Source organism: Homo sapiens, chromosome 15 (assembly GCF_000001405.40).
Source record: "Homo sapiens chromosome 15, GRCh38.p14 Primary Assembly".
Classification (NCBI taxonomy): Eukaryota; Metazoa; Chordata; class Mammalia; order Primates; family Hominidae; genus Homo; species Homo sapiens.
This window is the reverse complement of record NC_000015.10, coordinates 82,204,687-82,224,215: the sequence shown is the minus strand read 5'-3', so window position 1 is coordinate 82,224,215 and position 19,529 is coordinate 82,204,687. Positions and strand designations below refer to the sequence as shown.

Genomic DNA, 19,529 nt, shown 5'->3' with positions numbered 1-19,529 from the left:
TGACTGAAGGTCAGATCATCAGCCCGTGAAATAAACTTGACCTGTCTTAGTGGCATTTCTGACCCACCATGACCTGACCCCAAACCATGTTTCGACTAGATTTTTATTTCTGTTTCTCTAATATACTAGTGTCTGAACAAATGTCCTATCTGTACTTGTGCTGTTCCTCCATCTGAGAAGGCTTCTTTTCCTCTGATAAAATTCTGTTTGTCCTTCAGGGGAAAGGTTATGCTTTGTTTTTTAGTACTTCCCTAGTGATTTGGACATTAAGTGTATTCAATAATTTTTGTCCTGGGGATAAGTAAAGGAATAGATGGGTGAGTAAATGAAGAATGAATGAGTGAATATCCAAATGGGGGAATAACAGGTCAGTGAATGGGTGAATGAGTGGCTAACTGAGTAAGTAAGTGAGTGAATAATGGAATGAATGAATGTCTAATTATGTATCTAGGCTACTCCCAGATAATATTTCAGTGCTACATGTAGTAACAATTTCTTGTAGTAACAAATGTAGGATATTGGATGTTTTTTGGCCATTGGGAGTATCTGAGAGATTCTGGTAGAATCATAGGGAATATCAGAGAATTGGAAAACTTGCTGTTAAGATTTGAAATACATGTATTTATAGCATTTAAAATTCCTAGCTCTACCCATCCTTCATTTCTTGCTGATGAATAATAGTATTATTATGCCTCTACTGTTAATTACATTTTCTGTGAATGTTTTTCCTAATAATTCATCATATGCTTTTCTGATTTTAGTATATTTCTGATAGTGCAATCCATTCTATTCCATGAAGTTTTTTTACTGATTTTATTTTTGTCATTGTTTTTTAACCAGTATATCAGGTTCAACAATTGTTACATAATAATATAGTGTTTTCAGGTATACCTGGGCAAGGTCATCACCATTACTTTGTTCTTTTCCATCTTCTAGCTGATTTTTTTTTTTCATTTAAGTTTTATTTTTTAAATTTGGGAAAATGTACCATTGGAAGTTGGTTTGATAGCATTTTCATCTCCATTGTATTAGACATACAAGCCAGGAATAGCAGAGTATTATTTTCCTTTAGTATAGAGTACAATGTATTAGTGATATGTGCCAGGGAGAAAAGTAAGGCAGGAAACAGGATTCGGCGCCCACAAAGCCTAAAAAATTTTTTCCCTAACTTAGTGAAGACACTGACCTTTACTCACTGCTCAACAGTGCCACTGTGGTTGTAAATGAAGTGTGGGACTGTTACAGGACTTTCTCCTCTGTTCTTGTGTTCTTGCCTCTTTTCTTTGCTTCTTCAAATTCACCTTCCAACCTGACATTTGAATCTTCGGTCAACATTCTCACCTCTGGTCTCCTTCATCTCAGTATTAGTAACTATTGCCCCTTCAAGAAGTAACATCCATGGTTAGTTTAACTATAGCCTAAATAACTTAACACTCACAACTGTTTCCTCACTAGTAGGGCCCCATTTTCTTGTAATTAAATTTCTTTGTTCTCAACAAATGCTGGATACACAGTGGGTACTTTTTACACATCCTTGCTGATTACTATCTGCTTTGTTCCCCGCTACCATCATTCCCAGTGCCCAGCAGTGTGTGGCACACAGTAGTTGTTAACTGGATGGATGGATAGATACATAGATAGACAGCAGGCATCTATACAGTTGATGCTTACTTAATGACTGTACATGCTGATTATTCCAGATCACTTCATGAACTTAGACAGATGAGGATTTAATCTGCAAGTGAACAAATACACTTCTTTTTTCACTAAAACTAAAGTGAAATCACATTTACATAAGATGACAATTTTATCTTTAATTCCTCTTGAAGGAAAGACATAACCTGGTGATAATGAGCATAGACTTCAGAGCCATACAGATCTGGATTTGAATTATGGCTCCTCCATTTAATATCTGTGTGACTTTGGGTCGAGTTACTTAAGTTTCCAGTCTCCCTTTTCTTATATGTAGAATAGGAATACGATATCTACTTCATTTAATTGTTGTGATAAATTATGTGCTATAATATATGTAAAGTGATTAACAGTCTCTGGATCATAGTGATAAACCTGTTGGAAGAGACCATTTCTCTTTAGATGCTAGCAGGTACCTCTGGTATTTTTTCCTTCCTACTCTAATAATAAAAATGTGTTCTGCATTTATATTTTAATTCACACTTTTCAGATATTCTTATGAGTTTTTAGCAAAAGTCTAGAAACAAGGAAAGTTGTCAAAGGATTGGTTGAAGGAACGGCTAGAATGGTCAGCCTGGGGAAGAGAAGGAAGGTGGGGAAGGCATGAATGCTGGTGATTCAAAGGAAAGGAGAGGGAAGTAGGTTTGTTAGATGTTGCTCCGGAGGAGAGAACTGCGGCCATGGCTAGAAATTGTGAGGAAGCAGAGTTCATTCTGTATTTGAAAGTTCTGACATTTAGAGCTTCCTATAATGAGGAGCTTGTCTCTTGCAGTGGTAGTGTGGCCCCCTAGTGCCAGCAGTTTTGATTGCCTAACAAGACACCTGACCAAGCCAGGCTCAAGGATTGTTTCTCATATTTTTGTATTCTATTGCACAGCCCAGTGACCTGCAGCAGAGTGGGTGTGAGTGGAAGGGCCTACTCTTGGAACTAAACTCATTGATTTTGAGGGACAGGTGCTAAGGAAGGCAGAAGTAGTGTCTAGTCCTGGATACTAGGACTAGAGAAGTCTTGTCCAGCAGGCGGATATCTGAAGAGTATAGCAGTGGACAGTCAATGATTTAAGCAGTCACCTTGCAGGTTAGCTTACGTGAAATAGAAAGGTAGAAGGAGTTAGGCCACTTTGCATCAGGAGCCCTAAGGGTCTGTGGCCATTTGGAAGACAAGTAGGGAGAATGGTTACCTGCATGGCTTCCAGTGCTTACGGAGAGAGGAGGGGAATATGGCATGGCAAAGTGGGGATGAAGGTTATCAGTTAGGTGTGAAGTCTGAGATTGGCAAATAAAGCAGGAATCATAATATCAAAGGTGATGGACAACACGGGAGAGAGGCACAAAGTGTTGGGACCATGAAGAGTTGTCCAGCTTCCAGAGCTGGAGCATAAAGTTAGGACCAGAGGACTAGCCTGAGTGCTTTGATGTTCACTTCCCAGAGTATAGGGCAGAAGATGCTGTTAATCTATCAGCCTTAGGACAGGGTTTGGTCTTGTTCATGTGTTGGGGTTGAGCATGCAGGTAGGTTCATAAGGACCTCTACGTGGGAAGGGAGCCAAGTCCTAGGAAACAGTCTACCGGCCTGGTTTCTACCTTCCAAACCCAAACTCCCAAACAGAATTTGTATTCAACTTAGTATTCCCCTTTTGTCAACACCTTTTTAGTATTAAAACTCTAAATACCTTCTCTGCGTCCTGACAGACATGAGGGTAGTTCTTTAGGAAAAAGAGCTTAATTACCTCCCCCACCCCTTCTCATTCTCACCCCCATGGAAAACCACACATACACACCCACACACTGCCTTTTCTGTGATGGTACTTCTTAGGTCTAACACAGTGGCTGATATTTCAGTTTGACCTTCTAGTCCTGATGAATTGCCAGTACTCATCCTGACCTTGAACCCTTCCTCTTGAACCCCAGTTATTGAGGCCTTATGCTTGTTTCCCTGCCAGAGTCGTTCCAAACCCTAGTATCTGTCACTGTTTCCCTTCCTTCTTCCTGTTCTTTGCCTTTTCCAGAAGGAATATAGGTATCTGAGAAAGGTTCCATACTATTGTACATTGCTCCAGATGGGGACTTGGGCTCTTGCATGTCAGTTCATAAGCTCAGAATAGTTGGGACACAGCATTATTAGAGAGAGGCTGATAGGCCCTCTCTTATTGCTACAGACAGGGAGAGGACTTGGACAAAATTGCCTGGAATGGAGCTGGGACCAATCTTCATCTTACCCAGCCATGTCAATGCTTGCTGTTTCCCTACTTGGATGAACTGAGAGATGACAGCATATTTGTGATATCCTGTAGGCCTCTCACTCAAGAAGAAATTGCTCAGAGACGTGAGCGTGCAAGACAAAGGCATGCAGAGAAGCTTGCAGCAGCACAGGGACAGGCACCCTTGGAGCCCACCCAAGATGGGAGTGCCATTGAAACATGTCCAAAAGGAGAGGAGCCAAGAGGTATAGCTTTCCTAAGTAGGCTCTGTTGCAAAGTATTTGCCTTTTTGCTTAACTTGGGACACTCATCCTTTAGTTCTTGAGATTTTTAAGCTTTAATCGTAGTTTTTATCAATATTCTTTCCATTCTTGTTTTGTTTTGTTTTCTTTTTTTTCCTGAAACTTGACGAAAGATATCATATTCACTCCTCCTTCTATATTTCAGACAGTTCTTGAATTAAGAGGGCATTCTTGGCACTAATTATCTTTTTGTTTCTGTCAGGTGACGAGCAACAGGTGGAAAGTATGACCCCTAAACCTGTGCTCCAGGAAGAAAACAACCAAGAGTCTTTTATTGCATTTGCTCGGGTGTTCAGTGGTGTGGCTCGAAGAGGAAAGAAAATTTTTGTCTTGGGGCCCAAATACAGTCCTCTTGAGTTTTTACGAAGGGTAAGAATTGAAAGTAAAATATTTATATATTGTTTCTCGAGGGTCTGATATCTTTTCACATTTTGTTGGGACTGGTGATTATCTTGTTGGTAGATTTAGTTTGTCTCTGGAAAGGCACACTTGAGTGACTGTGTATCCTTTTGTGTTGCTTTGATAACATTTGTCATATATGTCTCAATTAGTAGCATTTAGGAAACCAATATGTGGACCAAATTTTCAGGCCTTGTTTAATTATAAGGCTTTTCTCTTCTAGGCAAGAGTCACCTTGTGGTTAGAGAAAAGAACTGATAAGAGCAGATGTCATGCTGGAGCCAGGGCAATGGCCGGTCTTTGAGAAATAGGAAGATCCAAAAACTAGCTGGCTTAGGCCAAAGGTGTGGGCAGTGAGCAGGGGATAGGCAGGAGTTGCATGGCACACAGACCCTGAGTCTGGACAGGAGGGTCTGTAAGTAGGTGAACAGGCAGCATCTAAAAATGCCTGAGCCAAGGGGCGAAACAGGGATCACAGGCTAGAGATGTCTCAGAACATTTTTGGAAGTAAGCAAGATATATACATTATAATTATATCATAATTAAATAATAGAGGTCATAGGATGAAGACAGTGCCAGAGGTCCAAGCAGCCAGTCTGGATCAGCACAAAGCAGTAAGCTAGGAAATTGTCAGCTGGCACCGTGGAGCATCATGAGCACAAAAACCCATGCTCCTCTCTGTGCAGGAAGCAGCCTGTCTGTAGATAAACCAGGGAAGCTGTGGTACTTGGCTACAAGTGAGAGAGAAGGAGGTAGCAGTTGAAGTAAGTCTCTGCCATCAGTTTTTCTTTGCCTTGAATGCTTATTCCATGAGTTTTAGCAGTTTAATCCTTGGAGAGTGCAGAGCTGCGTGGCAGTGAAGCAGTCCTTGTTGAGCTATGGCATGTTCTAATTTAGCAAGAAAGATTGCAGCACTTGGTGTGTATAGGGTTATGTTTTATGGGAGTCTGAAAGTGATATGTATAAAAACTCATCTATGATTTTTTATACATCTACGTAATCTGTGATTATCTTGGCTTGATAGTTTGCTATTTATCAGTAAGGGTCAAGTATCAGTTAATTTTTTCCTTTTTTGTGAAGGTAAGTGAGCAAGAAATTGTTATTTAGTGAAACATTGATTTATTTGGCATTACAAATTCCATGAACAATCCACTTTATCTCTGCATAATGTGTCTTTGCTACAGGTTGAAATCAGTTGCTTATGTGTCTCATGTCTTAAGCAGGAATGATACAATACATTGACAGCTCAAATGGCCTCTTATTTCAGTAACCAGAGCACCATAAAACCTAATTCCAACTGCTTAAAAAAAAACCTGAAATATTTCAGACCTACCTTCAAAGTAACCCCTACCCAGAATTTGTGTTCATCCTTTGTGTTAGTTTTCTGCTACTGCATATTACAGATTACAACAAATGTAGCAGCTTGAAACATTACACATTTTGTCATCCACAGTTTCTGTGGGTTGGAAAACCAGACATGGCTTAGCCACATCTTCTCCTTAGGGTCTCACAAAGCCACAATCAGAATGTTGGCCAGGGTGCATTCTCATCTGGAGGACTGACTGATGAAGAACCTGCTTCCAAGCTCACTAAAGGTTGTTGATAGAATTCATATATTTGCACCTGCAGTACTAAGAGTCCCAGATTTTTTCTGGCCTTTGGCTGCCCTCAGCTCCTAGAGGCCACCTACAGTTTCTTGTCATATGGACCTTCCCAACTTGGAGGCCCTCTTCATCAAGCCATATAAGAGAGTAGAAGGAATCTCCTAGCAAGACAGAGTCCTGTATGATGGTATAGAATCACAGTGTGACATCTCATCACTTTTGCCATATTCCGTTTGTTAGAAGAAGCAAGTCACAGGTCCCACTCACACTCGAGAAGGAGATTTCTAAACAAAGGTGTGAACACTGGGAAGCAGGCATCATGGGAGGGGCACTTTTAGTCTGTCTGCCACATCCTTCTCTTGCTTTTCTTTATAGTTTTACAACCTGTGTACGTATTTCTAAAGAATATTGTCACATTTGCATGCTTTTGAAACTTTGTATAAATGGAATTTCATTGTAGTTATTCTACAACCTGCCTTTTTTTTTTTAACTTTGTGAGATTAATCTATGTTAATGCCTATTCCCGTAGCTCGTTTATTGTTCAGTGTGGCATAGGATTCCTTTACTTAAATGTACATTTTATTTATACAGTGTTTTGGTCACTATATATTTGCTGTTTTCGTTTTTTTTTTTTTTTTTTTTTTCAAATCTAATCAATGCTACCTTGATTATTTTTGTATATATCTCCTTATGCACTTTTACAAGAAATTCTAGGGAATATACCTATAGTGGAGTTGCCTTGGTAATCTCTTGCTTAACAAGATAATTCCAATTTATTGTCCAAAGTAGTTCTGATTTACACTCCCAATAGGAGTGTTTAACAGTTACAGTTGTTCCACATGCTCACCAAAATTTGGTTTTGTTAGGCTTTTGATTTGTGCCAGTCTGATGGGTATATTACGGTATTTTGCAGTTTTAGTTTACATTTTCTTTATAACTCTTTTAATGTGTTTATTGGTCAATCTTGTGTTCTCGTGTGAAGATATTAATAGTTCTTGGAGTCATTTCCCTGTTTTTCTATTATGGTACTTTATTGTTTTAAATACTGCTTTTCAGATGTCCTTTGTATATTCTGGATACTAATTCCTTGTCAGTTTTGAATTTTGCAAATTTCTTCTCCAGTGTAGAACTTGTTTTTACTTTCCATTTGGTACCTTTTAATAGGCAGAAGTTATTAATGTAAATGTACTCGAATTATCATTATTTTATGGGTTTTGCTTTTTGTATCCTAAGAAAATTGAAATTAAGTCTATGTTGAAGTCACAAAACTCTCTTATGTTTTCTTCTAAATTTTAATATTTTACTTTTCATGTTTAAATATTTAATTCATTGTTTGCAAAGAAGGCATCCAGGTTCATTTTTTCCTCATTTAAATGTCCAGCTGTTCCAACATTATTGAATAGTCCATCTTTATCCACTGATTAGCTTTGTCCACTCTGTCAGAAATCAGATTATTACCTATGTACATAGGTCTGTTTCTGGACTAATTTTATTTTTTTCTGGTTGTCTCTAACTATCTCTATTCAGTGCTGTCTTCATTTTTAAATGTTTTGACATCAAAAAGACCAAATCCCTTTACCGTGTTTTTCTTTGTTAGTGTCTTGTTTGTTCCTATTTGCTCCTATATATCAAGTTTATGGTCAGCTTGTCAGCTTCTATGAAAAGCCCTGTTGAGGCTTCGATTGGAATTACTTTATGTCCATACACCTATTTGGCATGAATCAGCATTTTATAATACAGCATCTTTCCATCCATGAATGTATTAGGTTTATTTATCTATTTATTTAGGTCATTTTAAATGTTTTTCATGAAGTTTTATAGTTTTATTTATAAAGAGTTTTGATCACTTGTTAGATTTTGTTGCTATTCTAAAAATCATTTTAAATACACATATTTTCTATTTATTGCTATTCTATTTATGCATTTTCTATTCCTAATTATAGAAGTATAATTAACTTTTGTATATTGATCTTGCATTTTTGCCACCTTGCTAAGCTGTCTCACTAATTATAATTTATCCGTAGCTTGTTTTAAGTGGACAGTCATATTGTGTAGATAATTCCATTTCTTTCTATTCAGTTCTTATAATTTTTCTATCTCTCCAGCCCATCTTTAGAGCTACTTTGAGAGTTGTCATTTTAGCAGAACACATACATTTAGATGTAACATGTGCCTGAAAGGTCATCATTTTCATGAAATTTCTAGAGTCTACCCTAGCACAGGGGCCTCTCCTTCCTCTGAACCTTTATGAATTTACTTGCCTATACTACCTTTTTGTTGGTCACCCTATGCTTGTGATGTTAATCTCTTTGTTTATGTTGTATCTCAGCCATTTTTTTCCCTTCATAGCATTAGGGCAGCACCCCAGGCCTATGAGCACCAAAGATTGGTTGGTTGGTTAATTGAAATGCCTTCTGGATACTTGCATTTATATGGTGGGTATATTTCTGAAGACTTCACACAATGCAAAATTTGAATCATTTGAGACAATAGTTCCATAAGAATAAATATGATGTATGGGGAGCTAATAAATCTAATGTACTTGTACTTGTATATTTTTGCTGTAAATGTACTCTGTCCTCTCATTAGTGTTCCTAATATATCACAGCATGCTCTTCCATATGAACAATATAGCATATAATAGCAGTTAGGCCTTTTTTTTTGGCATTTTTATCACATCTAACTACCCTTCCAAAGTTATTTTTATATGTTACTTGGCACTAGCACCAGCCCTTGTTGAATACTTGAAGAACATTATAAATAAAACAACTTGAAAGGATAATAGTAATAATGAGTGTTCAAATGATAGCACAGTAGTCACCAGAACTGGTGTATGATGTGGTTCACATAAATAACAAGGGACTGTGAGGATCAGCTAAAGTGACAATACCAGGTCACAACAGAATTTATGTTACTTAGCCATAAAGCTTATGATTAAATGGGAATCTAGACAATTTTTTAGTATTTGAGAAGTTTGAGTATTTCAGATTTTATTCATAAAGTGAGGCATATTTTATCACACCATTTCAAATGTTCATATTTCAGGTTTACATGAAATGTTGCTATACCATATCTTACTGATGAATAGAAGTAACTTTACAAATACCAATTAATGCTTCCAAATGCCTCCTAACTTGTCTTCCATCATTTTTCTTTGCCCAGGTACCATTAGGCTTCTCAGCTCCACCAGATGGCCTCCCCCAAGTCCCCCACATGGCATACTGTGCTCTGGAAAACCTGTATCTTCTGATGGGAAGGGAACTGGAATATCTAGAGGAGGTACCTCCAGGAAATGTGCTAGGTAGGGTGATGCTGTTTATTTTATCCTTACTCCATTCTAGGAGATTATCTAACATGTCACTGAAAATTTAGTGAAATTTTTGAAGGGAATAACTTTATTCTTTAGTTTGATAATTTTTTTTTCTGGTATCTTTAACTTAGTACATTGGAGTAACTCACATGGAGATCAGTTTCTTGCTGTAAATTATAGTCGCTCTGTTTTAAAAATGTATTGCTTAAGTAATTAGTAAATGCTCTAGCCTAAGCTGGAGTTCCATTTATTTCAGAGCGAGAGGGGAAATTCCTGTTCACATAAAGTCAATCTAGATGACTAAGGCATTTCTGGTTCTACAGATTAGGTTCTAAATTGTCAGAAACTATTCTGATGTAAAGGTCTATTTAAACTCATTGCTTTTTTCGCATGCTTTTATCCTTTGAATATTGCTTTGCTAAGATTAGTTGATCGTCGTTTATATCTGTAAATATTACTCTTCATCTCCTTAATGTTATCACTTGTTTGACTTCTGTCCCCCATGTGCAGAATTCACTTTTTGAGTTTTCTAGTGCAACCCTAAAGACTCAGATTAAGAAATTTCTCTTGCATCCAGAGTGTATTGTAGAATACTGTATCCCATTGTACTGTTAGATTCTGAACCCTTAGGGTCATTGTCAGCTATAGAGCTATTTATTGAGTGATTGCTTGGTTTGGGAATTCTCCGCTTTTTAGAAAAAGGTTTAACTTTTTTAAAAAAGGCCTAGTCTGTTGGTCCAGAATAGCTAATGGTTTGTCTGGATTTTATAAACTTGAATCCCAAAAATTTGCCAAAGCATTTTGCTATTCACCTACAGAGATATATTCTTTTCTTTATTTAATTTTTTGGCATGAAATTTGTAGAATGCTTAGCTTCTCATCGGTGTTACCTATTTTCTTCCATCCCTTTGGAAAATGCCATTTAACCTTAACAATTGATACATCTTATTAAGCTGCCACAGCCAGCTTTATCAGAAAGGACATTGGAAGAATGGAAAACACCCTACTTTTGTTCATAAGCCTTCCTTGAGATTACTGTATTGCTCAAATTAAATGGAACATGAGGTATAAGATCTCCAGCATGATGCTCAAGGGAAAGAAAAGGCATTCTGCTGAGTGAATGGTTTTTATACGATCTTCTCTAATTAAGGCCTGGTGCTTGTGTTCTTTCCCTAGTAGAGGATGAGACTGTGGCATGCATTAGTTTCTGGTTTTCTTTCTGTTGCTGAATTTCTAGATGCCTTCCAGGATTGAGGTTAAGTGGTGTATAAGGAGAGATACCATTTCTCTCTCTTCTGCTTCCCAAGGCAGCCTTGGCTCTGCCATATGGTACGGGGAGACAAACCTACTATAAGCTAAAATTTTTCATTTATTCTTGGAGAAGAGATATACCTTGATGTCTTTTACTGACCTTTTAAAAAAGTGAGATGGTAGCACAACATGGGGTAAGGATGAAGGTGACTAAATCTTTGTTTACCAAATTTACTTATATAAGACTAAGCCTGATGGACAACCAACCACTTCGGGAAAAAATGGATTGAAGAGGAAAAGCCAGATTTATTTCCTATAAGAGTTAAGATTGTATTTAGCTGCAAGTAACCAGAAAACCAACTGCATAGTCTTAAACTTCACTCAGTAGAAAGCCCAAGGGTGGACAGTCCAGGGCTGGTGTCATGACTCTTCTGTGTCATCAGGGAGCCAGTGGCTCAGCATGTGGCTTTTGTCCCCGTAGAAGCAAGATGGCCTTATATCTCTGAGAATCATACCCACATTCCTCGCAGGAAGAGAGCACAAGGGTCAAGACCTTCTAACAGGATTAATGTTTTTATTTGGAAAGAAATGCCTCTCTAGTGACTTCTGTATATATGCTCATTTTTGTAATTTTGTCATATATCCTCTCTAGCTGCCAGGGAGCCCTGGGATTGAGTGTTTTACTCTTCCAGCCTCTGTAGTTAAGGCAAAAGATATTGGGGTTGTGAATGGCTTTTGAATAGCCAGTCCACACTCTTGGCTGCATTCGCCTTCCATTCACCTGGTGATGCCTGAGGTGCCTCCATTAAGGTTCTGTTTTCTTTACATTAAAGAGAAAGATAGTCTACCAGAAGGATTTTGAGTGTAACATTGAAGGAACTGAAATGCAGCCAGCCACTTTGATGGGGCTTTTTGAATTGAAACATATAGTAATTGTTTTTCTTTTATTAATTGAAATCTGGTTGAGTCCCCTGCATGACTAGGAAGCATGAGTATACCAAAATTCTGGCCATAGTATTGCCACTAACTAGTTTTATGGCCTCAGGCCAGTTATGTAACCTTGCTGGGCTTGTTTTCCCAAATGATTTGGACTAGGGCAATGATTACTAATACTTCTTATGATAGAAATAGAACAGCCACTTTTAATTTTTTATAAGAAGACTATGGATTCCCAGGGATACTTTTGTTTATCCTAACTGGGATTTGTCATAATCCTAAACTTTAAAGATAAAACATTAAATAACATTGCATGGAGTACATTTTATTGCTGTAGCTATAAAATACTAACAAAATTGTATTTGTAATTTTTTTGGTAAAATACAAACAGAATTGAAGTTTCAAATTGTCATTATATGATGGCAGGTTGACATCCTAGGTGGAGATGGAGTGAGGTAGACATTTTTTACTTAAGTCATGAAGATCTTCCCTGGATTTTGTCAGTTTCCCAGTGGCTTAAAAAAAGTTCTAAACTAGATTATCTTCACGATTGCTTCTAGCTTTTAACATTTAGGCTGTGTTTCTTTAAGAAAAACCTTATTTGAGTAATTAGGATATTTCCCTCCCTAGTGTTTATTAGGAGGAAGAGTAAATGTTTTGATATGATTATTTGGGTTGATTGATAACCCATTTTAATGGCTTCATTAAAACATCTTGAACTGGTTACCTGCCTCAAAGTCATAGAATTACTTTTTTAGGCAAATTTTACTTGTTCCTTGATTAAAAATGTGTAGCGTATGTTAGCAGTAGCAGCAGTCTCATAAGCCAGGGTGTTTAATAAAAGCAACTTTTCAAAGCTAGGAGTAAGTTTAAGACAGGACAGAAGAGGCCAGAGAGTCTAGTGTGTGTGTGTGTGTGTGTGTGTCTAGTATGTGTCTAGTGTGTGTGTGTGTGTGTGTGTGTGTGTGTGTATATAGATTTTTTTTTTTTTCTTTGAGACAGAGTCTCACTCTGTCACCCTGGCTGGAGTACATTGGCACAATCTCGGCTCACTGTAACCTCCGCCTCCCAGGTTCAAGCGATTCTTCTGCCTAAGCCTCCTGAGTAGCTGAGACTACAGGCATGTGCCACCATGCCCACCTAATTTTTTGTATTTTTAGTAGAGATGGGGTTTCACCAGGTTGGCCAGGCTGGTCTTGAACTCCTGACCTCATGATCTGCCTGCCTCGGCCTCCCAACGTGCTGGGATTACAGACATGAGCTACCGCGCCCAGCCGAGAGTCTGGTATATTAAGGAGTGAGAAGAAAACTGCCCAAGAGAAGGCTAGCTGGCAGCCACAGGTAATAAATGCTGGGATTCCAGCTTTTGGCTTTCTAGGGTGAGTTGACTGAGACCAGGAATGTCAACATTTTTTTTTTTTTCTTTGAAACAGATTTGTCTTCTCAGGTAGTTTTGAAATGGAAAGAATAAGATGGCTGCATTGGGCTGAAATAATCTATGTGTTCCAGTTACCTGTTGTTGCATAATAATTAACACTCAAAGCCTAGTGGCTTAAAATAAAGATGGTTCTTATTTTTTCAAGCATCTGCCATTCTTGCATGGTTTGGTGGGAATAGCTTGTCTCTTCCACGTGGTGTCTATTTTTTTTTTTTTTTTTGTAATGGAGTTTCCCTCTTGTCGCCCAGGCTGGAGTGCAATGGTGCAATCTTAGCTCACTGAAACCTCTGTCTCCTGGGTTCAAACGATTCTCCAGGTTCAGCCTCACGAGTAGCTGCGATTACAAGCAACCACCATCACGCCAGGCTAATTTTTGTATTTTTAGTAGAGATGGGGTTTCACCATGTTGGCCAGGCTGCTCTTGAACTCCTGACCTCAGGTGATTTGCCTGCTTCTGCCCCTCAAAGTGCTGGGATTACAGGCATGAGCCACTGCACCTGGCCCCACGTGGTGTCTATTGAGATGGCCCAAAGCCTGGGGGCTAAAGTCATATGGAGGCTATTTCAAGCACATGTCTCGGGGCTGATGCCAGTTGTTGTCTGGAACCTTGTTTGGGAGTAGAACTAAGGCCTTTCCATATGGCTGCTTGGCTTCCTTACAGCATGGTGGCAAAGTTTTATGGGTAAGCAACCCAACAGGGAGAGCCAGGAGGAAGGTATATCACCTTTTATGACCTAGCCTTCAAAGCCTTCAGCCCCACTTCTGCCACATTCTGTTTATTAGAAGTGAGTCACTGCAGCTGGCCCATGTTCAAAGGGAGGGAACTGACTCTGCCTTTTGATGGGAGGCATGTCAAAGTATTTGTGGCTATGTTTTAAAATGACCACATTGCTAATCGTAGATAATTTCTTGTTTCCTTTTGCATTTTAACAGACTCATGACAGGACACATATAAAGAGATGTTCATAGTGATCAGGGCACACCTGTAAACTTCATCTTTTTTTACTTTTGTTAAACTTTGAGAAAAAGTTGTAATTCCTATTTAATAAGAAAATAGTGGAGACCAATATGATCGGTACCCATATGCTTTTCATCATAAATGATACGGAGTCAGTAAATTTATCAAGTGCAGATGAAAATTTTTGTTGGAAAAGGAAATGAAAACATTACATGGCATTCTTGGACAATTCAGCATTATTCAGTCAAAGTCCGAAGGAAAGTTCTTTTATTGGCACTTGAAAAATCCAGATTTCACATTTGAACTCAGCTATAAGTCACTTAGAGAACTTATGTGTGCCGATAAGTGTAGAATAGATTTTGTGGTCTGGAAATAGTTGATTTAAAGTTTAAAGTTATTTAATTCTAACCTGATGTTTATAAAGTTGGTATAGATGGGACCAGAGAGACCTCACCATGTTTAGCACACAATAGCGTTTTGTTCTTTTCCCTACTGAGAATATCTCTAAAAATAAATATTTGCTGCAGGCTCCTATTAAAATGTGAGGGGAAATTGAATTAGGATTCCAAATCTTTAGCCTTTTCATATACTCCTTTAGATCTCTTCCATATGGTTAAATCTTTAAAAGTTCAAGGACATATTCTGAGAGGAAACATGATATTCTTCTTTTCACAGCATGAGGAAAATAAATATTAATTAGCCTTTTTCTGAACTGGTTTTAGGTCTGCCATGGTTGGTTGCTGGGTCAATAGGAAGTCAGTGTTGATAATCTGTGTGTGTGTGTGTGTGTGTGTGTGTGTGTGTGTGTCTGTGTCTGTGTGTGAATCCTTAGTCATGTGGGGTAACCTAGGCGTCAGAAACCTTTGAAGGGTTTTACTAGCAAATTTGATTTAATTTATTTCAAGGGAAAGCTCAGTAGAATTTGGTTCTTAAGACTTTGTGATACTTTTATAATGTTTTAAATTCACTTACTAGTGAATTTCTTTTAAATGTACTTTATTATCAGCATTTCCATTTGAAGATAATCTATTTTAATGAGTGAAAACCTAATAGTCATTTCTTAGTTTTAAGAGTTTCAACTGATTTTAATGGCTTTTCTTTTACAGATAGTAATGATTTTATTCTCTTTTTTCCTAGTAGTTATGTGTCATATTTCTTTTTATTTTCATATTGCTTATAAGAATATGGTACATAATAATAATTACAGTTGCTATTTTGTCTAGTTCCTTCCAGACTTTAATGGGAATACTTCTGGTGTTTTAGTTTCAGGTTTGCTGATGCCTGTCGATTCATGGTGTCTCTTATTTATTGTGCCGGGAAAGTATTTTTTTTTTAATAATCGGGAATGGATATTGAATTTTATTGATGCATTCTTAGCATCTGAAGACAAAGTTATAGAGTTTTTCTCCTTGCTGTAATTGATGTCATGAATTATATTTAATTTCCTGATTATTAAGGCGTCCTTGAATTCCTGCGTTAAAAAAAACAGCACTCGATCATTGCATATTCTTTTCAACCCCTATTAGGTTCAACATACTAGCATTTTATCCAGACTTTTCTTGCATTATAAGTTAAAATGGCCATTAGTTTCTTGGTATCATAATACTAAAATGGGAAGCTTTCGTTTTTTTACCCTCTACAGCTGCACTCTCCATTTGGTAGCCACTAGGTACATTCACTTACTTAAATTTAAATAGATTGAATTCAAATAACATTAAAAGTTTACCCATCAGTTGCACTAGCCATATTTCAAGTGCTTAATAACTATGTATGGCTAGCGGTTGCCGTATTGTATAGTGCTGCTCTTGAGAAATGTGTATATGACGTAAGAATTACCTTTTCTTCAAAAGTTTTGAAATAGTTCACTTGCAAAACTAACTGGGCTTGGTGCATAAAATACTTGATTCTTTCCATCTGGTAAACTTTATCTTTCTCATTTTCAGTTCTGTATATTTGTGTTTTCTTGTTCGATTTCTTTATTATGAAATTTGTCTTTTTATTTTAATATAGTTTTATATATAGTTAATGTTTTAAAGTTCTTTTTAAAAGATGACTTTCAGTATAGTGTAAACCATCATACTGGTCCGTTTGAAAATGCAGATAAGGCTGTGTGCCATGGCTCACGCCTGTAATCCCAGCACTTTGGGAGGCCGAGGCAGGCAGATCACCTGAGGTCAGGAGTTCAAAACCAGCCTGGCCAACATGGTGAAACCCCATCTCTACTGGAAATAGAAAATTAGCTGGGTGTGTGGCGGGTGCCTGTAATCCCAGCTCCTCAGGAGGCTGAGGCAGGAGAATCCCTTGAACCCGGGGGAGGCAGAGGTTGCAGTGAGCCGAGCCCGCACCATTGCACTCCAGCCTGGGTGACAAGAGCGAAACTCCTTCTCAAAAAAAAAAAAAAAATCAATCAATCAATTATTCTCAACTTTGAAAATGCAGATAAGCTAAATAAGAGTTATTGCTTACTATAGGGGTAACCATCAGTCTTTTTCTGTCCATATATATGCATATTTTTTAAAATTGTGGTAAGAAAACACAACATAAAATTTACCATCTGAACTATTTTAAAAAGTACACAGTTCAGTAGCATTTTTTAATTTAAAAATCATACTTCCTATACTGTTTTTTAACCTGTATATTTTTCTCTTGGAGACAATCCCTTCTTTGAATATAGCTTTCCCTGCCTTCGTTTAAATGCATTTGCTGCAACTTTCAGAACAGTGTTAAATAGTGGTGCAATAAGAATCTTTGTTTCATTTGTTAAGTTAGAGGAATTTATATATACATGTTATCTATATATGTTATATGTGTGTGTGTATATATATATATATATATATACACACACATAAATATATATATATGTTACCTTGAGATTAGGGTTAGTTTTTTATAATGAAAAGGAAGTATCCTCCTTTTTCTGTTTACTAGGTTAATTTTTAAAATGTGGGTAGATAATGAGATTTATCAAATGGTCTTTTCTACATCTTTCAGGTGACACATACGAGGGTTTTATTTTGGATCCTCTTATGCCATGAATCATATTAACACATTTCCTAATATTAAGCCAGTTTTTATTTCTGGAATACAGTATTAGGTGAGTGTATTTCAAGTATATTATTGAGCAGTGAACTCAGTTTGTCAGTAGTTTAGTAAAACGTTTATATTTGTAAGTTTGGTCTGTAGTTTTTTGTGTATATTTGTATTTGTGGAGTTTTGATATCAGCATTATATTAGGTGCATGAAACAAATCACAAATTAGGGGATGGTTTTTATTGTTCTCTAGTCTGTTTAAATGGCATAGCAATTTTCTGGTCCCTAAAATTTTGGATATTAGCACCCATGAAGTCAGCTATATTTGGTTAGTTGTTAATTGTTATTGTCCCTTTCAGGTTCTTTTTACTGTTTCTTATGTCAGTTTTGGTACTTTATGCTCATAGGTAATCAGATTGACTATCCAGTTTATTTGTAATGGAGACCAGTGTTAATACTGATTATATTCATGACAATAATTAACATCAGTTAGAGCTTACTATGTGCTAGAAATTATACTAAATATTCGGAAGTGATTATCTTCTTTATTCCCTGCCAAATGAGATACATACATTTCACAGATGGGAAAATTGACACAAAGATTAAGTAACTTTCCTTGATCCCATAATAATATTTATTAAGATGGGATATTTACTTCTGTATCTGTAGTTATTTAATATGTTTCCATATTACTTGAGTTTTTTTCCTTTTCTCTTGATGTCTTATTGATGACTTGTTACATTGTATCTTTCCTTCTGCCCTTAAATAACCCATTCTTTATATACTACAATTCTTCTAATATATTATGTATCATCTTTAAGTCTTGGTTCCTGCTTATCATAGATGACTTTATATTTTAATTTTCTAATTGAGATTTGGTTTGTTTTTTTCTCAAAGGAAATCATTTATGGTCTGAATCTTAGTATAATTTGGAATGAATTTCTTTTATTTGATATGCTATATTCTCTTTATCATATTTTTATGTGTACTCTAATTCAATGCTTTGCGACTAGTGGATTACAGTTGCCTTTTACAGATGTGACAAGCCACTGATTTCTTTAGCTCTTGAAGCTGCTGAGCAGGTTATGGGAAGGTGGGAGTCCCCTTGTCTATCACCCAGATCAGATTGTTAGCATACAGGTTGATAAAATGCTTATTTTACAACTTAAGATGTGTCTGTTAATTCTCATTTTCACTGTCTGAAGTAACTGGCAATGACTATATAAGTTCTTTTGAACACATAGATTAATACAGCTTCATAATCTAATAACTGTTTATCTACTAATAAGCCCATTGCTGCCATAGATATTGTATAAGAACAAAGGATTATTTGATGGGAATTCTCTTCCCCTCCATCTTCAAAGAGTATATTCCTCTTTTACTCTTAAATGACATTTAACAATGTAGAGGCCAGATAATTAGGGAAGATGAAATGAGAGATAATTGGAACAGTTTTTGTTGAAATTTGTCAGTTAAAGAAAGGAGCAAAATGGGTTAACAGTTTGAAGGAATAGTTGAGTCAAAGGAGTGTGTTTGTGTGTGTGTGTGTGTGTGTATTTACTGGAGTTTGATTATACTTGTTGTATCAGTGGAAAATAGGTAGGAAAAGAGGAAAGATAAAAGATGCAATGAAAAACTTAAATGGTCAATAATACAAGGTTTATAGTCTCTTCCAACTCAACAATGTAGAAAACATAGCCATCTGTTAAGAAGGAAGGTTTTGGACAGAATAAGATTCTGAAAACTGGTAGATGCATGGAAAAGCCACAACGAGCATTTGCTAGCAAATCATTAGATTATACCTTGACTAAATTGGACGGTAATGAGGTTCTGGGAAGAAGTGGAGATGGGTAGTCCAGTGAGCATTGCATAGACATTGAAATATAAGACTGTCTTGAGTAAAGTGCCAGAGGGACTATAGGCTATTCATGATTTGGGGCTTCCCTAGTTACAAGCTTGGAGGAAATGCTCGTGAGACCATCTTCTCTCAAGCATTAGGTCCTCTTGCTTCCTGTTGGGAAAGAGGGGACAGTCTCCCCTGCCATAGAGCCACCTCCTGCAAACTCAGCTGATAGGCTTGTTGCAGTTTTCTTCATTTCCATCTGTGGTTTTGGCCCTACTAATCCTATTTCAGGTACAGTAGTTGAAAAAGTGAACAATTGTATTTAGAACTTGCACATAATAATGAATAGACTGCAGATCATATTCTCTTCCAAAGATATGCTGGAAACATACTTCGTGAGTTGAGTATTTATCAGCATAGTTGTCATGCCAACACTGGGCAGGCCAGAGAGGCCAGAGCCTGGAATTTAGCTAAACTAATAAGACACTAGCAGGTCAAATGTCAGATATAGGAAGGAGGAAAGAGTAGGTGGGCGGTAATGAGCCAAGCAAAGGTCATGCTCAAG

At 37.2% G+C, this 19,529-nt stretch overlaps 1 protein-coding gene across 6 annotated transcripts in view; it reads left to right on the top strand.

The window, feature by feature from the left end:
• The window catches only part of EFL1 (elongation factor like GTPase 1), a 132,502-nt gene that overhangs the window by 38,519 nt on the left and 74,454 nt on the right, over positions 1–19,529 (top strand). For 5 of the 6 annotated variants that reach the window (NR_136410.2, NM_001040610.3, NM_001322844.2 and 2 more), the window contains 3 exons: positions 3,987–4,138; positions 4,398–4,564; positions 9,361–9,499. Coding sequence is in view for 5 of the 6 variants with exons in the window: in NM_001040610.3 (NP_001035700.1) it covers positions 3,987–4,138; positions 4,398–4,564; positions 9,361–9,499 (458 nt within the window). In the remaining variant the exon portion in view is untranslated. Of the gene's footprint in view, positions 1–3,986; positions 4,139–4,397; positions 4,565–4,655; positions 8,634–9,360; positions 9,500–19,529 lie in introns of those variants that run through there. The other variant, XM_024450048.2, reaches the window with a different exon arrangement.